This window comes from Homo sapiens, chromosome 19 (genome assembly GCF_000001405.40).
Source record: "Homo sapiens chromosome 19, GRCh38.p14 Primary Assembly".
NCBI classification, from domain to species: Eukaryota; Metazoa; Chordata; class Mammalia; order Primates; family Hominidae; genus Homo; species Homo sapiens.
In genome coordinates, this window is record NC_000019.10 from 11,164,222 (window position 1) to 11,190,955 (window position 26,734).

The following is a 26,734-nucleotide window of genomic DNA, read 5'->3' on the forward strand; positions in this document are numbered from 1 at the left end:
TTAAAGCTTAAAAGGGAGCACAGCGAAAAAAGAAAAGACACAGAATCATCAACATTATTGGTAGCTTTATTAAATTTGTTTACCTTCTAAAAAAAACGATTACAAAAAAGAATACTTCATTTAAGTGTAATACTGGCTTTATGGACGTACCGTGATCAGAAAGTGAAATTAAAGCTCATGGATATGCGTGAGAAGAGAATGGGCGCAGAGGCACGAGTCCAGTATCCCACGGAGAGAAGGAAGTGTAGAGAGATGCGTGGACCCATCTCAGGGGTCACGCATTCCTGGGCCAAGGAGTTGCTTCTAAGAGCTTAAAATAAATGCACTGGCTGGCTCCAGGGCTGGACACACAGGCACAGAACTCTTGTACCGCTTCTCAAAGCTGCCCAAAGCTGCGACCTTCCCCCTCAGACACCCACAATTAATTGTTTCCAATCAGCTTTGGTTTTGTTTTCTCTGCAATTTACATGCAAACACCATCTATCTATTCATCCATCCATCCATCCATCCATCCATCCATCCATCCATCCATCCATCCTGCTTGTCTCCTTTGACCAGCCAAGCCCTATTTTGTTTTACGTACATTCCCTTCACTAAAAATCAAAGCAAGCCAGTCTACATCAAGCCAAGAAACCTACTTTTCTAAGGAGAGAAACCAGTGCTTTGCCTTCTTTAATGAACCTGCGAGCTCTCAGCGCTTTCTCTTGCTGAAATGTGGCTTTAAAGCCTTGGAGGCTGAGCTCACTGGCCTCGAAAGGGCAGCGCGCGTATTTGGTTTGGAGCGCACTCCTGATCACAAAGCACATTTTTAGAGGCTTGGAACCCTTCCCTTTCTGTTGCTCACCAAGGAAAAGGCACAAGAAAGACAATGATGTGGAGATTCTTAGGGGACCAAAACAGGCCATGAAGGAAACTGTGAGTGTCTCTGGCAAGCCCCGTTTCCCGCAGGCTCTGTTCCAGGCAGCTCCGGAAAGTCTCTAGGTTGTTAAAAAGCCCAGCTGGCCCATGTTTGGTTTTCAGCAAAGCCCTGTCTCTTGAAGTTTGCGCTGGGAGGCCTGGGGACGGCCAACTTTTAATCGTACACACATGGGGTTTTTGGGAGCCGGCCCTGCGTTTTGCCAACAAGCGCATGCCCTGTTTTCTTTCCTTTGAGGAGAGAAATTCTGGAGTCCCGGGGAGGAACAGGACGGCCCTGTGACCATAGTCTGGGGCCTGGCGGCGGGGACGCAGAAGCCACCCTGAGAGCCAGATTCTTTTCCTGCGTCTTCAGGTCTGAAGGATTTTCTAGGAAAATTAACATTTGCCAAGGCCTCCATGTGGGGAAGGGAGGGGTTTCTGGGTAATTTGTCTCTTTTTCTTTTCTTTCTTGAGACAGGGTCTCGCTGTGTCGCCCAGGCTGAAGTGCAATGGTGTGATCATAGCTCACTGTAGCCTCGACCTCCAGGGCTCAGCCTCCCAAGTAGCTGGGACTACAGGCGCGCACCACCACGCCTGGCTAGTTTTTAAATTTCTTGTAGAGATGGGTCTTGCTGTGTTGCCCAGGCTGGTCTTTAACGTCTAGGCTCAAGCTCAAGCTCTTGCCTTGCCCTCCCAAAGTGCTGGGATTACAGACGTGAGTCACCACGCCTGGCCGGTAATTTCTCATTGTGAATTGATTGGGTCCCTGTAAGTCACAGAGCCTGTCCTGAGTCCCTTCATCTGAATGAGGGTGAAAAGACTGAGTTTTCTGTCCCGGGTGACAAGGACAGAATCTGTCTTGTGAAACAACCAGAAGAAAATTCCCCTAAGAAAGCCGTCTAGCGGGGCAGTGGACACAACACTATTCTATATCAGACAATTAAATGTGGGGGATGAAGGGTGAACCCCAACTGGTGCGTAATAACACTTAGGATTAAAATGAAAATATGCAAGTTCCAGTGACTTTCAAATCTGGCAACAAATCCTAAGATTCCCACCCCCTCCTGCAACAATGATTCAAAAATACAATATTTTTTTCCTCTCCCTCTTCCTCCATCCATAATTACCAGCTGATTGTTCTCAATGTTCTTCATAAAACCCACACCCCAGCATCAGCCCTGGCGCCAATGTATACAAGAATTTTGCTTCGGTCTGCGCTGTGGCCACTTTGAACAGGGGAGCCAAGAAAACCCACTTGGAGCTGGAGTCCTGTGGCCGTCGGGGCTCCCCCAGGGAAGCAGAGGGAGAGCTCGCTTGCCTTTGAGCCGTGGGCCTTGGGGAGTGTGAGTGGGGTGGGCCAGGGAGGAACGGGAACAGGGAGGAGACGGGGACAAGGGACGGTTTGCTCCCGGTCTGGCTGGTCCCCGCCTCCCTCACGGCTACTCTTCTGCCGAGGATGATGTAGGGCTCTCGTCATCTGACATTGGGGCAAACTGAAACAGAGAAGCAGAATTCTTTTTGTTTGGGATCCTTTCCAATCCCCCGAGGCGCCAACGTGGTGGCTGGCCTGGTAGATATGATGGGTAAGCAGGAGGGAGGCGTGGCCCCTGGCCCCAAGGAGGTGGCGATCTGGGGGCACCGCCTTGAAGAAGCAAACTCATGACTGTGGTTGAGGATGTTCACCGGGGGTGAGGGATGCAAAGGAATGAGGGTGGACAGTGGCTGGTCAGGGAGGGTGAGTTCTCAGCTGACTGTGAACGGCATCAAGGAGCCAGCGAGCAGGGAAGAGCATTCCAGGCAGCGGAAACAGCACGTGCAAAGGCCCTGGGATAAGTGCAGAGGGGTGTGGCAATAAGGCCAGTGTGGCTAGAGGGGGAGAGAAACAGTAGTGGGGAAGGTGAGGGTGGTTGTGCAGGGCCTGGTGGGCTTTGGAGAGGACCCTGGCTTTTTCTTTTCTTTTTTTTGAGACAGAGTTTCACTCTTGTTGCCTAGGCTGGAGTGCAATGGCATGATCTCAGCTCACTGCAACCTCTGCCTCCTGGGTTCAAGTGATTCTCCTGCCTCAGCCTCCTTAGTAGCTGGGATTACAGGCAGGCGCCACCACGCCCGGCTAATTTTGCGTTTTTAGTAGAGATGGGGTTTCTCCATGTTGGTCAGTCTGGTCTCAAACTCCTGACCTCAGGTGATCCGCCCATCTTGGCCTCCCAAAGTGTTGAGATTACAGGCGTGAGCCACCGTGCCCGGCCTAGATTTTTTTTTGCTTAAAGACAGGGTCTTGCTCTGTTGCCAGGCTGGAGTATAGTGGTCCAATCATAGCTCACAGTAGCCTTGACTATCTGGGCTCAAGCAATCCTCCTGCCTTAGCCTCCCGAGTAGCTGGGACTATAGGCATGCACCACCAGGCCCAGCTAATTTTTTTTTTTTTTTGAGGCGGAATCTCACTCTGTCACCCAGGCTGGAGTGCAGTGGCGCGATCTCAGCTCACTGCAACCTCTGCCTCCCAGGTTCAAGCAATTCTCATGCCTCAGCCTCCCGAGTATCTGGGATTACAGGTGCCCACCACCACACCCAGCTAATTTTTGTATTTTTAGTAGAGACAGGGCTTCACCATGTTGGCCAGGCTGGTCTCGAACTCCTGACCTCAGGTGATCTGCCCGCCATGGCATCCCAAAGTGCTGGGATTACAGGCGTGAACCAGTGAGTCTGGCCTGAATGCTCCTTAAACACGTCAGACACACCCCTGCCTCAGGGCCTTTGCACTGCTTGTTCCTGCTGCCCGGAAGACCATGTGATTCACTCCCTAACTTCTCCAGGTGTTGACTCAAATGTCATCTCTTCTCTGAGGGACTCCAATAGCTTCCCCATCACTCGCCATCCCACGTCCTTGTTTTTTTTTTTTTTTTTTTTTCTTTGAGACAGAGTTTTGCTCTTGTTGCCCAATGTCATGATCTCTGGCTCACTGCAACCTCCACCTCCTGGGTTCAAGTGATTCTCCCGCCTAAGCCTCCAGAATAGCTGAGATTAAAGGCATGCGCCACCACACCCGGCTAATATTTTGTTTTTTTAGTACAGATGGAGTTTCACCATGTTGGCCAGCCTGGTCTTGAACCCCTTATCTCAAATCATCCGCCCACCTTGGCCTCCCAAAGTGCTGGGATTACAGGCATGAGCCACCACGCCTGGCCTCTTTCTTTTTTTTTTTCCCAGACAAGGCGGCACTCTGTCACCATGTAGTGATGCAACCATGGCTCACTGCAGCCTCAAATTCCTGGGTTCAGGTGATCCTCCTGCCTCAGCCTCCCGAGTAGCTGGGAGTACAGGCATGCACCTGTATTTTTGGGGGAGACAGGATCTCCCTATGTTGCCCAGGCTGGTCTCGAACTCTTGGGTTCAAGCAATCCTTCCATCTCGGCCCCACAAGGTGCTGGGATTACAGACGTGAGCCACCGCGCCCAGCCTGATTGTGTCTCTTACCAGAATGCTCACTCCATAAGGGTGGATACTGTTTTCTGTTTTGATCAGTGCTGTGACCACTGGGGACTACCTAGAACTGGGCCTAACATGCAGCAGGCGCTCAATAAATATTTTTCAAATGAGTGAATGGTGACTAAGACACGCATTTGGAACCAGACAGACCCAGGCGTGAATACTGTTATGCCAACCATGACCATGCAGCCTCTCTGTGACTAATTTCCTCACTGGGGCACTATGAAGGTTCAGCAAGCAGCTGACCATATTCTGACTTTATCCTTAGCGTGAACCCCATGCACAATCAGCTCTTCATAAACATCCGTCTCCTCTGGCCAGGCACAGTGGCTGACCCCTGTAATCCCAGCGCTTTCAGAGGCAGAAGAGGAAGCATGGCTTAAGCTCAGGTATTCAAGACCAGCCTGGGCAACATAGTGAGACCCAGTCTCTACAAAAGATGTTAAAAAATGTCCGGGTGCAGTGGCTCACGCCTGTAATCCCAGCACTTTGGGAGGCAGAGGCGGGCAGATCACTTGAGCTCAGGAGTTCAAGACCAGCCTGGCCAACACAGTGAAATCCCATCTCTACTAAAAATACAAAAATTAGCCGGGCATGGTGGTGTGCACCTGTAATCCCAGCTACTTTGGAGACTGAGGCAGGAGAATTGCTCGAACCTGGGAGATACAGGTTACAGTGAGCCAAGATTGTGCCACTGTACTCCAGCCTGGGTGATAGAACAAGACTTTGTCTCAAAAAACAAAACAAAAAAAACTCAGCCAGGTGTGGTGACGTGCGCCTGTAGTCCCAACTACTCAGGAGGCTGAGGTGAAAGGATCACTTGAGCCCAGGAAGTGGAGTTTGCAGTGAGCTTTAATTGTGCCACTGCACTCCAGCCTTGGTGACAGAGTAAGACCCAGTCTGAAAACAAAAACAAGACCAGGCATGGTGGCTCATACCTGTAATCCCAGCACTTTGGGAGGCTAAGGCAGGTGGATCACGAGGTCAGGAGTTTGAGACCAGCCTGACCATCATGGTGAAACCCCGTCTCTACTAAAAATACAAAAATTAGCCGGGTGTGGTGGTGCACACCTGTTATCCCAGCTACTCAGGAGGCTGAGGCAGCAGAATGGCTTGAAGCCGGGAGGCGGAGGTTGCAATGAGCCCAGATCGTGCCACCGCACTCCACCCTGGGCGACAGAGTGAGACTCTGCCTCAAAAACAAAAACAACAAATCTCTGTCCTTTCAGAGACCCACCCATCCCGTGCCTACCCGGCCGGATTGAGACTCACCGAGCACTTGATGTTCATGCGGGAATACAGCATGGACGCAATCTCACTCTGCCCTGCGTCCAAGGCCACCATCAGAGCTGTGCTCCCATCCTGCAAAGTATCCGGTGCTATGAATGACGTCCCCATGCTGTGCTCCCGCCCTCCCCGGGGTGCACCTGGTTGGAGACTCACGCGATCTGTGAGTGAGATGTCACAGCTGGGCACGGCCAGCAGCAGCCCCGCGATCTCCTTGTGGCCGTGCTCACAGGCGCACATGAGGGCCGTGGAGCCGTCATCATCTTGCACGTTGACATCTGCCTCACAGGCCAGCAGGGCTTTGACAACGTCCACCCGCCCGTGGCTGACGGCCAGCATCAGGGCCGTCTGTCCTGCCTGGGGAGGGCAAGGAACAGGATTATGGTTCATGCAGGCCCCAGGGCAGGACACCCCCTGGTCTAGAACCTGCTGTAGCTCCCACATACTCTGATGGTGAAATGTACCCTCAACTTGCTGATCTCCTCCTGAATCTCAAACAACCCTCCCGTCACCAGGGGAGTAATAAATCCACAGAGACAGAAAGCGGATGAGTGGTTGCCAGAGGCTGGGAGAAGCGGGGGCGGAGGAAATGATGGATACAGGTTTCCTTTGGGGGTGAAGAGAACGTTCTGGAACTAGACGGAGGTGTTGGTTGCACAACAGGGTGAATGTATTTCATGCCAGTAGTGCTTTTGGTTTTGTTTTGCTTTATTTTAGAGACAGGGTCTTGCTCTGTTGCCCAGGTTGGCGTGCAGTGGCACGATCGCAGCTCACTGCAGCCTCAACCTCCCCAGGCTCAGGTGATCCTCCCACCTCAGCCTCCCGAGTAGCTGAGACTACAGGCATGCGCCACAATGCCTGGCTAATTTTTGTATCTTTTGTATAGATAGGGTTTTGCCATGTTGCCCAGGCTAATTGTTCCTTTAAAAGGGTTAATTATTTTTTTTTGGAGATGGCGTCTCGCTCTGTCACCAGGCTGGAGTGCAGTGGCGCAATCTCGGCTCACTGCAACCTCCACCTCCTGGGTCCAAGCAACTCTCCTGCCTCAGCCTCCTGAGTAGCTGAGATTACAGGCGTGTGCCACTACGCCCAGCTAATTTTTGTATTTTTAGTAGAGACAGAGTTTCACCATGTTGGCCAGGATGGTCTCAATCTCTTCACCTCGTGATCCGCCCGCCTAGGTTTACAGGCGTGAGCCATCGTGCCCAGCCTAAAAGGGTTAATTCTGGGCACTGTGGCTTACGCCTGTAATCCTGGCACTTTGGGAGGCCGAGGTGGGAGGACTGCTTGACCCCAGGAGTTAGAGATCAGTCTGGGCAACATAGCGAGACCATGTCTCTAGTAAAAAATAAAATTAATAAAATACAGCCTGGACAACTTGGCAAAACCCCAACTCTAAAAAAAAATTAGCCGGGCATGGTGCCGCACGCTTGCAGTCCCAGCTACTTGGTGGCCTGAGGTTGGAGGACTGTTTGAGCATGGGAGGTCAAGGCTGCAGTCAGCTGTGATTGCACCACTGCACTCCAGCCTGGGTGACACAGTGAGACCCTGTCTCAAAAAAATAAAAAATAGAGATAAAATAAAATAAAAAGTTAGAAATAAAGGAGTTAATCTTATGTTTTGTGAATTTCACCTTCTTTTTTTTTTTAATAGAGAGGAGGTGGGGGTGGGGGGGTGTCTCTAGGTTCCCCAGGCTGGTCTGGAACTCCTGACCTCAAGCAATTTATCCCGCTTTGTTCTCTCAAAGTGCTGGGGTTACAGGCATGAGCCACCTTGGTGAGCCTCACCTTAATTTTTTTTTTTTTGAGATGGAGTCTCACTCTGTCACCCAGGCTGGAGTGCAGTGGTGCGATCTCGGCTCACTGCAACCTCCGCCTCCTGGGTTCAAGCGATTCTCCTGCCTTGAGTAGCTGGGATTACAGGCACATGCCACCATGCCCAGCTAATTTTTATATATTTTTTTTAGTAGAGATGGGGTTTCACCATGTTGATTAGGCTGGTCTCAAACTACTGACCTCGTGATCTGCCCACTTTGGCCTCCCAAAGTGCTGGGATTACAGGCATGAGCCACCGCACCCGGCTAATTTTTTTTTTTTTTTTTTGAGACAGAGTCTCACTCTGTAGCCCAGGCTGGAGGACAGTGGTGCGATCTCAGCTCACTGCAACTTCCACCTCCCAGGTTCAAGCGATTCTCCTGCCTCAGCCTCCCGAGTGGCTGGGATTATAGGCACGTGCCACCACGCCCAGCTAATTTTTTAATTTTTTAGTAAAGGCAGGGTTTCACCATGTTGGTCAGGCTGGTCTTGAACTTCTGACCTCAGGTGATCCACCCACCTCAGCCTCCCACAGTGCTGGGATTATAGGCATGAGCCATGGCGCCTGGCCTTAATTTTTTGAAAATGAAGCCACTAAAAAAATTTCTTGGAAATTAAAACAAAATTAAATCAATAAAGATAAGGCAGGATCATGCCTGTTATGCCCCGTCACAGCTCCATTTTGTTCCTTTGCTGTCTTCAGACTGTTGACGATCCCTCTCCTCCTCACTGTCCTCAGTGGGTCCTGGCTTCCCTGCTCTTTTGCCCAGACACCTGTTCATAAGCCCCAGTCACCTCCACAGTGCCTGTTTCTGCTTCCCAACACACAGCTGAAGGGAGCGCTCAAACCAGGAATCAGGCCACGCCACTTCCCTGCCTAAATTCCCCTGGCGGTTTCCTGCAGCCCTGAGTCCAAACTGGCTTGAGTCCCGGTGCTCCCTAAAATGCTTATGGCTTGAAGAACGGGCTAGTGAGCTTCAGGAGACCATGCCTGCTTGTTCGCCATTTCAGTCCCCAGTTTTCGGCCCAGGGAACCCAGCTGCTGCTCAATGAACTGTCCAGCAGGATGTGGGATGGGGTCATATTAAGAAAGGTAAGGACCCTCATATCCTCTACTCCTTCTAGTTTCCACAAGAAGGTCCTGTGTCAGAGACAGCCTGGCCATGAAGAGCAGGGCTCTGGAGTTAGACCACCTGGGTTTGGGCCTGTCACTCAGCTGGGATGTCATAAAGTAGGAAGAGCCACCTGGATCTGCAGCAGCCGGGGTCCCCATACCTGGCTGGCTTTGGCATTGATGTTGCCAAGCCGGAAGAGCTGAAGGACAGTCTCGATGTCGTCCTGGGTCTTCAGGGTGGCCAGGGCGGTGAGCATAATAGGGCTGTAGCCAGCACGGTTCTGTTTGTCCACCTTGCAGACACCTAAGAGACATGGTGTGAACCCTCAGACCAGGGATCGCTGCTAGTGGACTGCCCCAAGGAACGTGGATACCACGTCTCGTCCATCAGTCTAGGCATGCCCTAATCCCTCCCTTTTCTCAGAGGACCCCACTCTGCCCTAGAGGTCTCCATCTCCATTAGACCTGGGGCTCCTAAAGTTGGAGACAGTTCCTCCTCCATCAGATTTGGGGCCCCTGATGCTGGCATCTATATTTAGGGCTGAGAATAGAAACTGGGTCTCCCCTGTTAATTTTGGAACAGCCATTTACCCTCAGACTGGCCCATGTCTCCCCCATCAGATTGTGGGCCCTGAGTCCTTCATCAGCCCGGGAGGCTGTCTCCCCCAGTAGGAGAGGGAAGGGCAAGTTTCTTACTAACTGAGGACCACGTCTTCTTTCCAAGCCCCAGACTTGAGGACGCATCCCTCTCTTAGACCAGGGCTCCAGAGATGTCACCTCCATCATGCAGGCGTGTTAGGTTCACACGTTTCCCTAACATCACTTCTGCCTTTTCCATTATGCTGGCTAAAGGTAGGGCCCGTGCCTCCCCCACCAGACTGGGAAGGAAGTGTCTCCTCCATCAGACTGGGAGGACAGCATCTCCCCCATAAGACCAGGAGGGTAGAGTCTCTGCTATCAGACTAGGAGAGTCATGTCTCCCTCGTTAGACTGGGAAGGTGGTGTCTCACTCATTAGACTAGGAGGGTGGTGTCTCTGCCATTTGACTGGGAAGACAGCGTCTCCTCTATCAGACTGGGAGGGCCACATTCCCCCAACAATGAACCGGGAAGATGATGTCTCCTCCATTAAACTAGGCAGGTGGTGTCTCCTCCATCAGCCTGGGAGGGTGGTGCCCCCCCCATCAGACTGGAAGGGTGGCATCTCCCATATCAAACTGGGAAAGTCACATTTCCCCCATCAGACTGGGGAGGCAGCATCTCCTCCATCAGACTAGGAGGGCCACATCCCCACCACAATGAACTGGGAAGGTGTCTCCTCCATCAGCCTGGGAGGGTGGCATCTCCTCCATCAGACTGGGAGGGCGGCATCTCCTCCATCAGACTGGGAGGGCCATATACCCCACCCCATTGAACTGGGAAGGTGCCGTCTCCTCTATCAAACTGGAAGGCTGGTGTCCCTCCACATCCAATCGGAAGGTGGCATCTGCCACATCAGACTGGGAGAGAGGTGTTCCCTCTATTATACTGAGAAGGCCGCGTCTCCTCCATCATCTTCCCCATCAGATGGGGAGGGCAGTGTCTTCCCTATCAGACTGGGCATGGCGGACAGCTGGCTGGTTTAGAGCCGCCTCGTCCTCCCCGCTGGGCTCACCGCTGTCGAGCAGCTGCTGCACCACGGGGAAGTTGGCATGAGACACGGAGTAGTGCAGGGCTGTGTTGCCGTTGCTGTCGGCGATGTTGACCACGTAGTCCAGCAGCCGCGCAGACATGGCCCGGAACGTGACCAGGTGCCGCCGCACCAGCTCGGGGTGTGCGTCGCTGCGGCAGGCCAGGCGCAGCCACTCCTGCAGCACTGTGGTGTAGGCCACTTTCTGCATGCGAGTCAGGTGGGAGAGGATGTGAGGGCGGGGGAGGCCCACTGGGACACCCCCCACCCCAGATGCGCCCCCGGAGCAAAGCGTGGTGCCCTTGTCCTGGAAAACGATCTCAAGGGAAGTGCAGACCCTCCCAAAGGGAAGTGTAGACATCTCTGTCCCAATAAGACCCTTGGAGTGAGGTGTGGACTTTGCAATCCCCAACACGTTCCCCAAGGAAGGTGTGAGCACCTCCACCCTGGATATAATTTCTCTCTCTCTCTTTTTTTTTTTTTTTTGTGAGACAGAGTCTCGCTCTGTTGCCTAGGCTGGAGTGCAGTTACATGATCAGGACTCACTGCAGCCTCAACCTCCTAGGCTCAAGCTATCCTCCCGCCTCTGCCTCCCAAGTAGCTGGGACCACAGGCGTGCACCACTATGCCTAGCTAATTTTTAAAACAATTTGTAGAGGCTGAGTGCAGTGGTTCACGCCTGTAATCCCAGCACTTTGGGAGGCCAGGGTGAGCGGATCACTTGAGGTCACGAGTTCGAGACCATCCTGCCCAACATGGTGAAACCCCATCTCTACTCAAAATACAAAAAATTAGCCAGACGTGGTGGCACATGCCTATAGTCCCAGCTACTTGGGAGGTTGAGGCAGGAGAATTGCTTGAACCTGGGAGGCAGAGGTTACAGTGAGCTGAGATCGCACCACTGCACTCCAGCCTGGGTGACAGAGCAAGACTCCCTCTCAAAAAAAAAAAAAAAAAAAAAAAAAAAAAGAATTTTTTTGTAGAAATGGGGTCTCACTATGTTGCCCAGGCTGGTCTTGAACTCCTGGCCTCAAGCGATCCTCCTGCCTTGGCCTCCCAAAGCACCAGGATGACAGGCATGAGCCACTGCGCCCAGCCCTGGTTATAATCGCCAAAGTCAAGTGTAGATGCCCAAAAAGGGAAATCTGGGTGCCCCGCCCCTGAAGCCCCCAGGAAGAACAGGAACCCAAGGCCAGGCTTGGCCAGTGAGTGTTCATCCTCCAGCCTCTCCCCATCTCCCTGGCCTCTCTCCGAGGCCCATGACTTGAGCACCACCACCCCCATGCTCTGGGCTTCAGTGTCAGGGTCCCCACTAGGCAGGAGCAGGAAGTCACTGAGGATGAGGAGAGGCCACGGGTGGGGTGGAGGTAGGGGTCCGGGGGGTGGCCAACCTAGGCCCAGGGCCAGATCGTACCAGCTCCCGCTCTGTGAGGGCGTTGGGATTGTCCAGGTACTTTTCCAGGGCCAAGCAGGCTGAGATGAGGTCAGGGCTTAGCTCCATCCTGCCAGGAACAGACAAAGCGGGGAACTAAGTAAGCCCCGCTGCGGTGCCTGGGAAGGGACTTGACATTCTGCACCACGTCACTCACAATAGGGTCACCTGAATGGTGGCATCTCAGACCCTCCTTCACCCGGGACACACATTTACATTGCACCCCAAGGGGCAGCTGTGGGGAACATGCAGACCCCCAAGGGAGAGTGGACACACAAGCCAAAGTTTATTCCAAATGCCCACTGGCAGATGGAAAATATTTCCCAAGGGCAAATTTTTTCACCAGGGGAATAAAAAAGAGACATAAATAGAACAGACAGGTAGAGGAAACGTCCCAAAGTAGGTGGGTGATTTTGGGATAAACTTTGGCTGGTCCCCTAAATCCTAACCCCGGCAGCCCAAAATAGTTCCACCAGGCCCTTTAGCAAAGCCTCCAGAACTTCAGATGCCCAGAAGGAGCAAGTGCTCGTTTGCTAATTCAGACTAAAGTGTGCATGACTGATAGGAGGGTCCTTCAAAGGGCTTGAACGGTGGGGGTTTGAGGCAGAGGTCATCCACCCCCGGCCCTGCCTGAATCCCTCCTACCCAGAAAACTGACCTGATCTCCTCCTCCGTGTTTGATCCTGATGCCCCCTCAGCAGTGGGTATGTGCTGAGATTCTCGAGACAGCTGACACTCCTGCCGGCTGGTCTTGGCCGCTGCCGTCCCTGCAGGCCTGAGCTGGGGGGCTTCGGCCACACTCGGAACCCTCTCCCTCGGCTCTGGGGCCTCGTTCTCTGTGCTGTCGTTGTCTGAGATGTTCTCTGCTGTGCTGGAGTCCTCGGATGACGACTCATACCTGGGGAGGAACGAGCGGGGAGGGGGAGATGCTGCAGGTGGGATGAGAAATGGTGGGAAAGGAAGGCAGGGATCTGGTGATCTGACCTCTGTGGGCCTCAGCTTCCCCATCTGTTCAATGGCAGTATTGACATTCCAGGGTTGTGGGATGTGGTTTACAGCAACTGGCACACAGTAAGCGCTCAATAAACATTAGCAGTGATTATGATCATGCTCGGGGGGAGGGGCACTGCTTTTCACCTCCTGCCTTTTGACACTTCTAGCATACTCACCCTCCTTTTTTTTTTTTTTTTTTTTGAGATGGAGTCTTGCTCTGTTGCCCAGGCTGGAGTACAGTGGCACTCACTGCAAACTCTGCCTCCTGGGTTCAAGCAATTCTTCTGCCTGAGCCTTCCAAATACCTGGGACTACAGGTTTGCACCACTGTGCTCGGCTAATTTTTGTATTTTTTAGTAGAGTCGGGGTTTCGCCATGTTGCCATGTTGGCCAGGCTGATCTCGAACTGGGTTTACAGGTGTGAGCCATTGCGCACAGCCACCTCTAGCCATTTTTTTTTGAGACGGAGTCTCGCTCTGTCGCCCAGGCTAGAGTGCAATGGTGTAATCTCAGTTCACTGCAACCTCTGTCTCCTGGGTTCAAGCGATTCTCCTGCCTCAGCCTCCCAAGTAGCTGGGACTGCAGGCACCCACCACACCCAGCTATTTTTTGTATTTTTAGTAGAGATGGAGTTTCACCATGTTGGCCAGGCTTGTCTCGAACTCCTGAACTCAAGTGATCCACCCGCCTCAGCCTCCCAAAGTGCTGGGATTACAGATGTGAGCCACCGCGCCCGGCCACTTCTAGCCCTTTTAACACAGGTGATTCAGACTCCTGTTCCACTGCAAATAGGGCTCTCTCGTGTTTCTTGCTGGCTCTGGACAAAACCTAATCAAGCTTCTAGGCTCGGCATTCAAGGCCCCAAACCAACCATCACTCCCTGCACCTCCCACTTCTCGTGTCACTCTGCTTTCCCACCTCTGAGCCTTTACCCACGCTGTGCCCCTGCCAGAAGAGCCCTCCCCACACCCTCTCTTCACCTTGCTAGCTCCTACTTCTCCCGTACCACCTGTGTCTCCTCCTTCTGGGACTCCCCTAGGGCCACCTGTGTCTTTCTTGAGGACCTGCACCACCTGAGTGTTCCCCATCACGGCTCCAACCACCCATCAGCACCCAGCTCCCCACTGGACCAGGAGCTCTATCAGGGCAGGAAGCGGCGTCCGGCACCTTCTGTGGGGTAGAGCTGTGCAGTGGTTACACCTTGAGCTCTTGAGCCAGGGCACGCAGGGCTGACTCCTGGGTCACTGAGTGAGCTCCAGAAATGCGCTTAGCCTTCCTATGCCTCAGTTTCCTCATCTCTGTGTTGTGGTTTGATTAAACGAATTAACCAAAGCAAGGAGCTCAGAATGAGGTAATTAGGAGGCTCTCGTGCGTGGATGAATGGAGGAGGGGCGGGAAGTATGGGGTGGGGGGTGGGGTCTTCTCCTCTCACCCGCCGTTGACCCCCACGAACTGGAGGCTCCTCCGGTGGGCCGTGGGGTCTGCAACCTCCTCTTTCCGTTTCATGATAGATCGCACGCCTGCCGGGGGCCCGCCTGGAGGGGAGGACAGCGGAGGTGCTGTGAGAGTCCTTCAGGGCCAGACTCCGAACTGGCGCCATCCCGGTGCCCCGTCCCTCTTGGCGGCCACCCACCACTTACCGGTGCCCCCGGCCTCCTCGGACTCTTGGGAGGCTGCTTGCCTGGTGGGCTCCCTGTGGGTGGGCTCCTGGGTGGGCACTCGGCCTGTGCTCTTCTCAGGCTGTGTAAGGGAGGCTACCTCGGACCCCGGGGGTGACGAAGACGATTCGGCAGGAACTTCTGGGAGGCCTGGAGGGACAGGAAATGAGTGTCTGCTCTTGGTCATAAAAGCCAAACCACCACAGCCCTGCGGGTCATACACCCTGGGCCAGGAGCTGTAACAGGGCTGATTTTTGTGTTACCACATCCAGTCTTCCTGCCCCTTGGAGGGAAATCGGATTATTACAGATGAGGAAACTGAGGCACAGAGCTGCCAAGGTAACCCCTTGAGCAGGTGGCAGAATCCAGTTTGGTGCCTGCCCAGCAGCTAGTCAGGGACAGGGACAACCCTGTGGCCCCATATTCCTGGCTCGAGCCTGAGTGATCGCTAAAAATAAGGTTTGGCCGGGCACGGTGACTCATGCCTGTAATCCCAGCACTTTGGGAGGCTGAGGCGGGCGAATCCCCTGAGATCAGAAGTTCGAGACCAGCCTGGCTAACATGGTGAAATCCCGTCTCCACTAAAAATAGAAAAATTAGCCGGGCGTGGTGGTGCACACCTGTCGTTCCAGCCACTCAGGATGCTGAGGCAGGAGAATTGCTTGAACCCGGGAGGCGGAGGTTGCAGTGAGCAGAGATCACGCCAATGCACTCCAGCCTGGGCAACAGAGCAAGACCCTGCCTCTCAAAAAAAAAAAAAAATCAGAGATAAAAACACGTCTTGGTGGCCAGGCACAGTGGCTCATGCCTGTAATCCCAGTACTTTAGGAGGCTGAGGCGGGCAGATCACGAGGTCAGGAGTTCAAGACCAGCCTGGCCAACATGGTGAAACCCCATCTCTACTAAATATACAAAAATTAGCTGGGCGTGGTGGGGGGATGCCTGTAATCCCAGCTACTCAGGAGGCTGAGGCAGGAGAATTGCTTGAACCCGGGAGGCAGAGGTTGCAGTGAGCAGAGATCACACCACTGCACTCCAGCCTGGGTAACAGAGAGAGACTGTCCTGAAAATAAAAAATAAAAAAAAAAAACACATCCTGACTAAAAAAACGAAACGAAACAAAAGAAAACAAAAGACAACAAAAAACACCCACCCAGGTTGGTCTGAGGACAAAGGTGACTTCCTGGATGCTGAGGTCCTGGACTGCCAGCCAACAGCGTGGAATAAAAGTCCAGTTTCCTTTTTGTGTAGCCACCAATGTCTTGGAATCCACTCAGGTCCCCCTGGGCCACATATGGCTGCTTTGTAAGACAGGGTTTCACTCCCTTCACTGAAGCTTGAGTGCAGAGATGCGATCTTGGCTCACTGTAACCTGTGCCTCCCGGATTCAAGTGATTCTCCTGCCTCAGCCCCCTGAGCGGCAGGCAGTAAAGGCGCATGCCACTGTGCCCAGCTAATTTTCTGTAATGTTTGTAGAGATGGGGTTTCACTATATTGCCCAGGCTGGTCTTGAACTCCTGAGCTCAAGTGATCCGCCTTCCAAAGTGCTGGGATTACCTCCGGAGCAGCACCGCCCAGCCCATGCATGGTTTCTGTGTCAGCATTTCCTCGGGGGTTCCCCTTCCTGTCCCCCGGGGCGCCAACTCTGAAGACCAATTAATTTGAATTCCCTTTAATGGCTAAAAAGGTTGTTGGGGTTTTTTTCTTTGTGACAGGGTCTTGTTATATTGTCCAGGCTGCTCTAGAACTCCAGAGCGCAAGGGATCCTCCCACCTCAGCCTCTCGCATAGCTGGGATTATAGGCATGAGCCACTATGCCCAGCCTTAAATTTTTTTTTTTTGCCATATACAGTGACTTCCTGAGGCCCACAGGCAATATTCAACTTTAGTACAGAACGGTGACCAAATGCTGGACATAGGCAAAGAGTAACATAGACAGGGCCGGCTGCATGAGACACTCGGTCATCGGCATGGCCAACAGCATCCCCAGACCAGGGTGTGGCCAGCTCATACCACAGAAAACATAAAAACCATGCCAGAGCCAAGGCTTGAACTCATGAGTGGGGAACTGAGCGAGAGCAAACGCCAGTTGCTATGTCCCTCTATGATTTTTCTTTTTAAACTTGGCAATAAATTCACGTGAAACAAACAAACATACTGCATGGCCAGGAGACAGATTCACAATCTCAATCTCTGCCCAAAATGCAGGGCGCCTAACTTGAAATCCTGGAGAGGCCGGGCGCAGTAGCTCACGCTTGTAATCCCAGCACCTTGGGAGGCTGAGGTGGGTGGGTCACTTGAAGTCAGGAATTAAGAGACCAGCCTGGCCAACATGGCAAAACCCCGTCTCTACTAAAAATATAACAATTAGCCAGGCATGGTGGTAGACATTTGTGATCCCATCTATTTGGGAGGCTGAGGCAGGACAATCGCTTGAACCCGGAAGGCGGAGGTTGCAGTGAGCCGAGATCATGCCACTGCACTCCAGCCTGGGGGATAGAGCGAGACTCTTGTCTCCAAAAAAAAAAAAAAAAAAAAAAAAAAAATTCTGGGAGAGCCAAAAAATGAGGTGGAGCAATATTATGCTAAGTGAAAGAAGCCAGATGCAAAAGGGACAAAAACATTGCATGATTTGATTCACAGGAGTTCCCTAGAGTTGTCAAGATTTATTATTATTATTATTATTATTATTATTTGATACAGTCTTTCTCCATCGTCCAGGCTGGAGGGCAGTGGCGTGATCTCGGCTCACTGCAACCTCTGCCTCCCAGGTTCAAGTGATTCTCCTGCCTCAGCCTCCTGAATAGTTGGGATTACAGGAGCCAACCACCATGCCCGGCTAATTTTTGTATTTTTACTAGAGACAAGGTTTCACCATGTTGGCCAGGGTGATCTTGAACTCCTGACCTCAAGTGATCCATCTGCCTCCGCCTCCGAAAGTGCTGGGGTTACAGGTGGGAACCACTGCGCCCAGCCCTAGAATTATCAGATTTAAACAGACAGAAAATAGAATGGTGGGTGCCAGGGGCTGGGGGAAGGAGAATGGGAAGTGTGTTTAATGGGGACAGTTTCAGTTTGGAAAGATGAGAAAGTTCTAAAGATGGATGATGGTGACAGTTGCGCAACAGTGTGAATGGGCTGGACATAGTGGCTCACACCTATAATCCCAGGACTTTGGGAGGCTGAAGGGGGAGGATCACTTGAGCCCAGGAGTGTGAGACCAGCTTGGGCAACATAGGGAGATCCTATCCCCAACAAATACAAGAAAAAACAAACAAACAAAAAAATGATGCAAATGTACTTAATGCCACTGAATTACATACTCAAACATGGATAAGATGGTTAATTTTTTTTTTTTTTTTTTTGAGACGGAGTCTTGCTTTGTCATCCAGGTTGGAGTGCAGTGATGCGATCTTGGCTCACTGCAACCTCTGCCTCCTGGGTTCAAGCGATTCTCCTGCCTCAGCCTCCTGAGTAGCTGGGATTACAGGTGTGTGCCACCATGCCTGGCTAATTTATATTTTTAGTAGAGATGGGGTTTTGCCATGTTGGCCAGGCTGGTCTTGAACTCCCAATCTCCAGTGATCCACCCGCCTCAGCCTCCCAAAGTGCTGGGATTACAGGCTTAAGCCAACACGCCCGGCCAGATGCCAAATTTTATGTTCTATCTATGTTACCACAATATTGTAAATGGCGAAAAAATTTGAGAGGCTGAGGCAGGAGGATCGCTTGAGGCCAGGAGTTCAAGACCAGCCTGGGCAACATAGCAAGACTCTATCTCTGCAAAAAATTAAAAAGTTAGCCAGGTGTGGTGGAGTGCGCCTATAGTTCTAACTACTTGGGACTATACTTGGCTGAGATGAAAAGATTGCTTGAGCCCGGGAGTTTGAAGTTACATTGAGCTATGACAGCACTGCTGCACTCCAGCCTGGGTGACGGAGTGAGACCCTATCTTTAAAAAAAAAAACAAAAAAACAAAACAAAACAAAAAAGCCAGGCGCGGTGGCTCACGATTGTAACCCCAGGACTTTGGGAGGCCAAGGCAGGCCAATCACAAGGTTAGGAGATCGAGACCATCCTGGCTAACACGGTGAAACCCCATCTCTACTAAAAATATAAAAAATTAGGAAGGCATGGTGGCACGTGCCTGTAGTCCCAGGTACTTGGGAGGCTGAGGCAGGAGAATCGCTTGAACCCAGGAGGCAGAGCTTGCAGTGAGCCGATATTATGCCACTGCACTCCAGCCTGGGTGACAGAGTCAGACTGCCTCAAAAAAAAAAAAAAAAAAAAAAGTAAAAAAAATCAAACAAACTAGAGCAGAACCAAAGCCCACTCCGCCCCAACAGAAAAGCAGGCAGTGACTTCAAAACCTGGGATGGCTCCTTCCAGTCTAAGGAATTGAAGGTTAGACTTGGAATGCTAGCATAACAAGAAGTAATAATAAAATTGATGATACTTATTATTGTTATCCCACTGGGGAATGGGGCCAACTGACACTAAAATTTACACAAAAGAACTAAAGTCCATTGATAAGCTAAGACAATTCTACAAAACAAGAGCACAGATGGAGTAGTTGGTCTGTGAGAGAGTAAAACATATTTCAAAGCTACAACCATGAGAACAGCAGGGCATTTTTGCATTAATAAATGGACCAATGGGACAGAGAAGACAGGCTCCAATCTCTGGGCACTGAGGGTAAGACAGAGGGGGTTTCCCCAAGCCAGTGGGAGACGGTGGATTCTGTGGTGTGGTTTTAGGAGAAGCAGCTTACTTTACATGAGAAGAGCCAAGCTGGATCTCTATCTCATAGCATACACAAGAAAGAAACTGTGAAGAATTAAGATGAAGGTACAACTACAAAGCTAAAGGGAGATAATGTAGCAGACTATCAGGGACTCAGGAAAGGGAAAGATTCATTCATTCATTCATTCATCCAGTGACACAGTCTCACTCTGTTGTCCAGGCTGGAGCGCAGTGGCGTGATCACAGCTCATTCCAGCTTCGAACTCCTCGGCTCAAGTGATCCTCCCACTTCAGCCTCCCGAGTAGCTGGGACTACAGGCATGCACCACCATGCCCAGCTAATTTTTTTTTTTTTTGAGAGAGTCTCGCATTGTCACCCCAGGCTGAAGTGGAGTGGAGCCATCTCAGCTCACTGCAACTTTCGCCTCCCTGATTCAAGTGATTCTCCTGCCTCAGCCTCCCGAGTAGCTGGGATTACAAGTGCCCGCTACCATGCCCAGCTAATTTTTTTGTATTTTTAGTAGAGATGGGGTTTCACTATGTTGGCAAGGCTGGTCTTGAACTCCTGGCCAATTTTTGTATTTTTTGTAGAGATGGGGGTCTTACTATGTTACCTAGGCTGGCCTGGAACTCCTGGGCTCAAAGCAATTTTCCCACCAAAGTGTTGAGATTACAGGTGTGAGTCAATGTGCCCAGTTAAGATTCTTTTAAAAATTCTTCCAAGCACAATCCACATATGCAAAATATAATGGTTTTACCTATATTCAAAATGAAGACTTCTGGCCAGGCATGGTGGCTCATGCCTGTAATCCCAACACTTTGGGAGGCCAAGGTGGGCGGATCACTTGAGTCAGGAGTTCGAGATCAGCCTGGCCAACATGGTGAAACCCAGTCTCTACTGATAATACAAAAATTAGCAGAGTATGCTGGCAGGCACCTGTAATCCCAGCTACTCGGGAGGATGAGGCAGGAGAATTGCTTGAACCTGGGAGGCAGAGGTTGCAGTGAGCCGAGATCGTGCCACTGCACTCCAGCCTGGATGACAGAGCGAAACTCTGTCTCAAAAACAAAAACAAAAACAAAAATGAAGACCTCTGAGATCCTCATGGGTGCGGTGGGGGAGTGCCGGAGTTTGGCACAGGCAAAAATTGGCAAGGGATAATCTTCTAGAACAGGGTCAACAAACCTGGGAAGGGCTAGATAGCAAACATTTTTGGTTACGTCACACATAAGGACTCGGTTGCAACTGCTCAACTGTGGCATAGTTCTAACACAAAACCAGTCACAGACAGTATGTAAGTGATTCCGCGTGGCTGTATCCAATAAGTTTGAATTTCACATAATCTTGTCATGTCAAGAAATATTTTTTTTGAGACAGGGCAAGACTCTACTTTTTTTTTAATGTGAAAAAAAAAAATCAATAAATAAACTAGAGCAGCGCCTAAATCCCATTCTGCCCCAACAGAGAAGCAGGCAGTGACTTCAGGGAACTTCTTTTTTTTCTTTTTTTTTTTTGAGATGAAGTCTCGCTCTTGTTGCCCAGGCTGGAGGGCAATGGCGTGATCTCAGCTCACTAGCAACCTCTGCCTCGCGAGGTCAAGTGATTCTCCTGCCTCAGCCTCCCGAGTAGCTGGGATTACAGGCACCCGCCATCATGCTCGGCTAATTTTTGTATTGTTGTAGAGATGGGTTTCACCATGTTGGCCAGGGTGGTCTCGACCTCCTGACCTCAGTTGAGCCACCACGCCCAGTCTACTTCAGGCAACTTCTGTTGCCCAGGCTGGAGTCCAATCATAGCTTGCTGCAGCCTCAAAATCCTGGGCTTGCCGGGCATGGTGGCTCACGCCTGTAATCCCAGCACTTTGGGGGGCCGAGGTGGGTGGATCGCTTGAGCCCAGGAGTTTGAGACCAGCCTGGGCAACATGGTGGAACCCCATCTCCACAACAACAACAACAAAATTCCTGGGCTCAAGGAATCCTCCTGCCTCAGCCTCCCAAGTAGCTGGGACTACAGCTGCACGCCACCATGCCAAACTAATTTTTAATTAGTAGAGATGGGGTGTCACTATATTGCCCAGGCTGGTCTCAAACTCCTGGCCTCAAGTGATCCTTCTGCCTTGGCCTCCCAAAGTGCTGGGATTGCAGGTGTGAGCCACTGTACTTGGCCCAAAATATATTTTTAAAATCATTCAACCATTAAAAAAAAACGTAAAAATCATTCTTAGCTGTGGGTTGTAGAAAAACAGGTTTCAGGCTGTATCTGGCCCACAGGCCGTAGTTTGCCAGTTTTGACTCTGGAAGATACCAGCAACTTCTAAAAACTGCTCAGAGAAAAAATGGAGAAAGGCTACAAGTAATTGACTTACAGAGGAACCTTATTAGGCATACACAGAGAAGCCCTATCTCTCACTGCCTATCAGAGCTATGCCAATGAAAACAATAAGGAGGGCTGAATTCCGAGGCTCGCATTTATAATCCCAGGGCTTTGGGAGGCTGAGGTGGATCACTTCAGCCCTGGAGTTCGAGACCAACCTGAACAACAGAGCAAGACCCCATCTCTACAAAAAATTACCTGAATGGGATGGCACTTGCCTTTAGTCCTAGCTACTCAGGAGGCTGAGGTGGAGGGATCACTTGAGCCCGAGAGGTTTAGGCTGCAGTGAACTGTGACTGTGCCACTGCACTCCAGCCTGGGTGACACAATGAGACCCTGTCTCAAAAAACAAACAAAACAATGAGGAGATACCATTATGTAGCAGCTGTCAGATGGATAAAAAAAATTAGAAAGACAGGGCCGGGCGTGGTAGCTCACACCTGCAATCCCAGCACTTTGGGAGGCCAAGGCGGGTGGATCACCTAAGGATGAGAGTTTGAGACCAGCCTGGCCAACATGGTGAAACCCCGTCTCTACTAAAAATACAAAAATCAGCCAGGTGTGGTGGCGGGTGCCTGTAATCCCAGCTACTAGAGATGCTGAGGCACAAGAATCGCTTGAACCTGGGAGGCGGAGGTTGCAGTGAGCCAAGATCGCGCCACCGCACTCCAGCCTGAGAAACAGAGCAAGACTCTGTCTCAACAAATAAAAAAAGAAAGAAAGAAGAGGCCAGGCGCGGTGGCTCACGCCTGTTAATTCCAGCACTTTGGGAGGCCAAGGCGGGCAGATCAACTGAGGTCAGGAGTTGGAGACGAGCCTGACCAACATGGAGAAACCCCGTCTCTGCTAAAACTACAAAATTAGTCAGGCGTGGTGGGGCGCATGCCTGTAATCTCAGCTACTCGGGAGGCTGAGGCAGGAGAATCGCTTGAACCCGGGAGGTGGAGGTTGCGGTGAGCCAAGATCACACCACTGCACTCCAGCCTGGGCAACAGGAGTGAAACTCTGTCTCAAAAAAAAAGAAGAAAAATTAGAAAGACAGATAAAGCCATATGTTGGTGAGGATATGAGAAAATGGACAACTTGAACCGGAGCACGGTGTTAGGAGTGCGGATAGGGACAGCCTTTTTTGGAAAGGATCAGACAGGACTTGGAGTGAAGTTGCAAATCCTCTAGGAATGGGCAGTCCCACAGAAGGGGTCGTGTGAAGATGACTCCAGCATTGTTCGTGGTGGCCGGAAATTAGAAGTAACCAGATACCTACTGTGAAGGGATTAGAGAAGAGGGTAGGTGGGTGGGGTGGCTCACACCTGTAATCCCAGAACTTTGGGAGGCCAAGGCGGACAGATCATGAGGTCAGGAGTTCGAGACCAGCCTGGCCAACGTGGTGAAACCCCGTCTCTACTAAAAATACAAAAATTAGCCAGGCGTGGTAGCAGGGCATCTGTAATCCCAGCTACTTGGGAGGCTGAGGCAGGAGAATTGCTTGAACCCGGGAGGCAGAGGTTACAGTGAGCTGAGATCACGCCACTGCACTCCACCCTGGGCAACAGAGCGAGATTCCATCTCAAAAGAAAAAAGGAAGAAAAAAAAGAAAATAAAAAGTGATAAATCAGATTTACAAACCTCAGTGTGGAGAGTTCAAAAATAGTGTAAGGAGAGGAAAAAATAAGAAACAGAAAGAGATTTTTTTCTGAAGCACAACACCATTTAAGGAAATGAAACACGCACAAGGCATATTTTTCAAGGACACTCAAATGTCTAAATAAGTTTCTGGAAGGTGGTTTGTAAGGAATGGGATTAGATGGGGTGGGGGTGGCACTGACGGTGGAGAGCGGAGGGTGGTGAGCTTCAGTCTGTGGGTGCTGTTTTTACATTTTTAAATGGATGGGAAAGAAGAATTTAATTTGGGACTCATGAAAAGTATGTGAAATAGAAATTTCAGGGTCCTGCAAATAAAGTTTTATTGGAACGCAGCCACGTTCGTTCATTTCCATATTGTCTACGGCTGCTTTTGCAACTGCAAAATGAAGGCCCTGAAGCACCAAATTCAAAAAGGTATACATTAAATATGTGCATTTTTTTGCATATTAAGTATACGTCAATAAAATCAGAAAAAGCTGGGCACGGTGGCACACGCCTGCAATCCCAGCTATTTAGGAGGCCGACGTGGAAGGATCACTTCAGTCCCCGAGTTCGAAACCAGCCTGGGCAACATAGTGAGACCTCATCTGGCAACATAGTGAGACCTCATCTCAATAAAAAGGATGAAAGGAATAAAAATAAAGTGGGGAGGAAAAAAGAACTGAGGCAGAGTTGAATCAATGCAATAGAGACCGTATGACCTGCAAAAGTGAAAATATTTACTGACCCTTAGCATTGAAGGTTGAAGGTGGAGGCTGAAGGTGAAAAAATAATAAGTAATACAAGAGAAGTGGTCTGCACAGGCTAACGTGGATGGTTGTCAGGAGCTGAGGAATGAGATGAACTCAGTTTTGGACTCCTGAAGGCCAAAATAATTTTTTTTTTTTTTGAGACGGAGTCTCACTCTCACTCTGTCGCCCAGGCTGGAGTGCAGCAATGCGAGCTCAGCTCACTGCAATTTCCGCCTCCCCGGTTCAAGCGATTCTCCTGTCTCAGCTTCCCAAGTAGCTGGGATTACAGGTGTGTGCCACCACACCTGGCTAATTTTTGTATTTTTAGTAGGGGTTTTTGCCATGTTGCCCAAGCTGGTCTCGAGCTCCTGACCTCAGGTGATCTGCCCACTTTGGCCTCCCAAAGTTCTGGGATTACAGGCATGAGCCACCACACCCGGCCCATGTAAATTCTTTTTTTTTTTTTTTTTAATTTAGGCTGGGTGCGGTAGCTCATTCCAGTTTGTTCAACCCCTTGATAAGCCCGAGCCTTTGCTTATCTCAGGGCCTTTGTCCCTGCTGTGCTCCTCCCTGGAACATTGTTTTTTCCACCTCTTCTGGTGACTTCTTTCATGTCTTCATTCAAAGATGCTCCTTGGAGGGTGGGTGCCGTGGCTCATGCCTGTAATCCCAGCACTTTGGGAGGCCGAGGCGGGCAGACCACAAGGTTAGGAGTTCAAGACCAGCCTGGCCAACATAGTGAAACCCCGTCTCTACTAAAAGTACAAGAAAATTAGCTGGGTGTGGTGGTGGGTGCCTGTAATCCCAGCTACTTGGAAGGTGGAGGCAAGGAGAATCGTTTGAACCCAGGAGGTGGAGGTTGCAGTGAGCGGAGATAGCGCCATTGCACACCAGCCTGGGTGGCAGTGCAAGACTCCATCTCAAAAAAAAAAAAAAATGCTCCTTTGAGAGGCTATAGGGCCAAGAGCTGACCTTGGGCACCAAGTATCAACCATGCCTGGTACCATGATGAACACTTGACATGAATTGATTCTCTCCCCCCCCACCCCCGCCCACAAGATTGGTCTTGCTCAGGCTGGAGTACAGTGGCGTGGTCACAACTCACTGTAGCCTCGACCCCCTGGGCTCAAGCAGTCCTCCTGTTTTGGCCTCCGAAAGCTCCAGGATTACAGGCATAAGCCACTGCGCCTGGCTGAATTGACATATTAAAGCCTCACATTATTCCAGTGACACTGTGCCATCAGGACCCCCGATTTGCAAATGAGGAAACTGAGGCATAGAGAGATTTCATCGCTTGCTCAAAGGCCGAGAAGGTTGGATCACCTGAGGTCAGGAGTTTGAGACCAGCCTGACCAACATGGTGAAACCCCATCTCTACTAAAAATACAAAAATTAGTCAGTCATGGTGGTGCATGCCTGTAATCCCAGCTACTCGGGAGGCGGAGGCAGAAGAATCGCTTGAACTCGGGAGGCGGGGGTTGCAGTGAGCCGAGATTGCATCACTGCACTCCAGCCTGGGCGACAGAGCAAGACTCTGTCTCAAAAAAAAAAAAAAAAAAAAAAAAAAAAAAAGGAAGATATAGAAATGAATTAAGACATTCCAGCTTGGCTCAAGCAAGGCAGAGATTGGGGCTGGCTGCAGCAAGAGGGAATAAAATGAGACTCCAGGAAGAACTTTCAGGCAGCAGCTTGAATGCAAAGAAGGTGGACATCGCTATGTCTGTTTGTCCTGCAGGCAGAAGGCCTCTCAGCTGCTCTGGGAGGCACGTCTGGAATGGTGGTTGCCTCTCAGAGATTCCGAGGCTGGGCCAGGCGGAGCCTCTGGCAGGGGGCCAGAACCTCAGGACCTGGTGTTTGGGATAGACACAGAACAGGCGGGTGGTGTCCAGAGCTGGCCAGGAACAACACGGGCCGGCGAGAAAACACAGCTGGGTCCCTGCCCTCCAGCCTGTGCCCTCCAGTCTGTTGGTAGGGGCTCTGGCCACCTGACATTTGAGGCTGGGATGAGAACTTGGGCCCTACCTTCGAGCCCTGCTGCAGATTCAAGCTGTCCTGGTTATTTATTTCTTTTTTCTTTTCTTTTCTTTTTTTTGAGATGGAGTCTCACTGTCATCCAGGCTAGAGTGCAGTGGTGCGACCTCGGCCCAATGCAACCTCCGCCTCCTAGGTTCAAGCAATTCTCCTCCCTTAGCCTAGCTAGGACTACAGGCGTGTGCCAACACGCCCAGCTAATTTTTGTATTTTTAGTAGTGACAGGGTTTCGCCATATTGGCCAGGCTGGTCTTGAACCCCTGAGCTCAGGTTATCCACCCACCTCGGCCTCCCAAAGTGCTAGGATTACAGGCCTGATGTTCTGGGTTTGGATACTGGCTCAGTTGAGCCACTTCCTGGCTGTGTGACACAGGACAAATGAATCTCCTCCCTAAGCCTCAGTTTCCCCAGGTATGAACAGGTTGACCAGAACATTATCAGCAGAAGCAGCAACCAGTACTTAACCGTGTGCATTAATTCATAAATTCTCCACCTCTCTAGAGGTGGAGAGCATTATCATGCCACTTCACAGATAGGGACGTTTAGGGCTAGAGAGGTGATGTTGCTCACCAGTATCACACAGCATGAGTTTGAACGCACCTGGCAGAGCCTCCCTGACCATGTTTCCAGAAGAACAGCTGTCATTATTATTGTTGAGACACAGTTTCACTCTGTTGCCCAGGCTGGAGTGCAGTGGCACAATCTCAGCTCACTGCAACCTCCGGCTCCCAAGTTCAAGCGATTCTTGTGCTTCAGTCTCCCAAGTAGCTGGGATTACAGGTGCCGGCCACCACGCCCGGCTAATTTTTGTATTTTTAGTAGAGACAGGGTTTCACCATGTTGGCCAGGCTGGTCTTGAACT

The 26,734-nt window shown here is 51.0% G+C and overlaps 1 protein-coding gene across 28 annotated transcripts in view, besides 3 other annotated features; it reads right to left on the reverse strand.

The window, feature by feature from the left end:
- KANK2 (KN motif and ankyrin repeat domains 2) overlaps positions 49-26,734 on the reverse strand; it is a 33,596-nt gene continuing 6,910 nt past the window's right edge. For 17 of the 28 annotated variants that reach the window (XM_047438576.1, NM_001379562.1, NM_001379563.1 and 14 more), the window contains 9 exons: positions 14,332-14,499; positions 14,124-14,226; positions 12,357-12,596; positions 11,681-11,768; positions 10,252-10,471; positions 8,760-8,902; positions 5,827-6,027; positions 5,656-5,745; positions 49-2,390 (listed from right to left, as the gene is read on the reverse strand). In XM_047438576.1, the coding sequence (XP_047294532.1) occupies positions 2,337-2,390; positions 5,656-5,745; positions 5,827-6,027; positions 8,760-8,902; positions 10,252-10,471; positions 11,681-11,768; positions 12,357-12,596; positions 14,124-14,226; positions 14,332-14,499 (1,307 nt within the window). In that variant the 3' untranslated portion in view covers positions 49-2,336. Of the gene's footprint in view, positions 2,391-5,655; positions 5,746-5,826; positions 6,028-8,759; positions 8,903-10,251; positions 10,472-11,680; positions 11,769-12,356; positions 12,597-14,123; positions 14,251-14,331; positions 14,500-26,734 lie in introns of all 28 variants that reach the window. The other 11 variants (NM_001379552.1, NM_001379553.1, NM_001379554.1 and 8 more) reach the window with 1 other exon arrangement.
- Positions 2,025-2,525: an enhancer, noted in NCBI's record as "H3K4me1 hESC enhancer chr19:11276922-11277422 (GRCh37/hg19 assembly coordinates)". NCBI's record gives its function as "activates a minimal SCP1, AML or CMV promoter by ChIP-STARR-seq in naive H9 embryonic stem cells {active_cell/tissue: H9 hESC(naive)}" and the evidence as "EXISTENCE:reporter gene assay evidence [ECO:0000049][PMID:30033119]".
- Positions 25,198-25,699: an enhancer, noted in NCBI's record as "H3K4me1 hESC enhancer chr19:11300095-11300596 (GRCh37/hg19 assembly coordinates)". NCBI's record gives its function as "activates a minimal SCP1, AML or CMV promoter by ChIP-STARR-seq in primed H9 embryonic stem cells {active_cell/tissue: H9 hESC(primed)}" and the evidence as "EXISTENCE:reporter gene assay evidence [ECO:0000049][PMID:30033119]".
- Positions 25,700-26,199: an enhancer, noted in NCBI's record as "H3K4me1 hESC enhancer chr19:11300597-11301096 (GRCh37/hg19 assembly coordinates)". NCBI's record gives its function as "activates a minimal SCP1, AML or CMV promoter by ChIP-STARR-seq in primed H9 embryonic stem cells {active_cell/tissue: H9 hESC(primed)}" and the evidence as "EXISTENCE:reporter gene assay evidence [ECO:0000049][PMID:30033119]".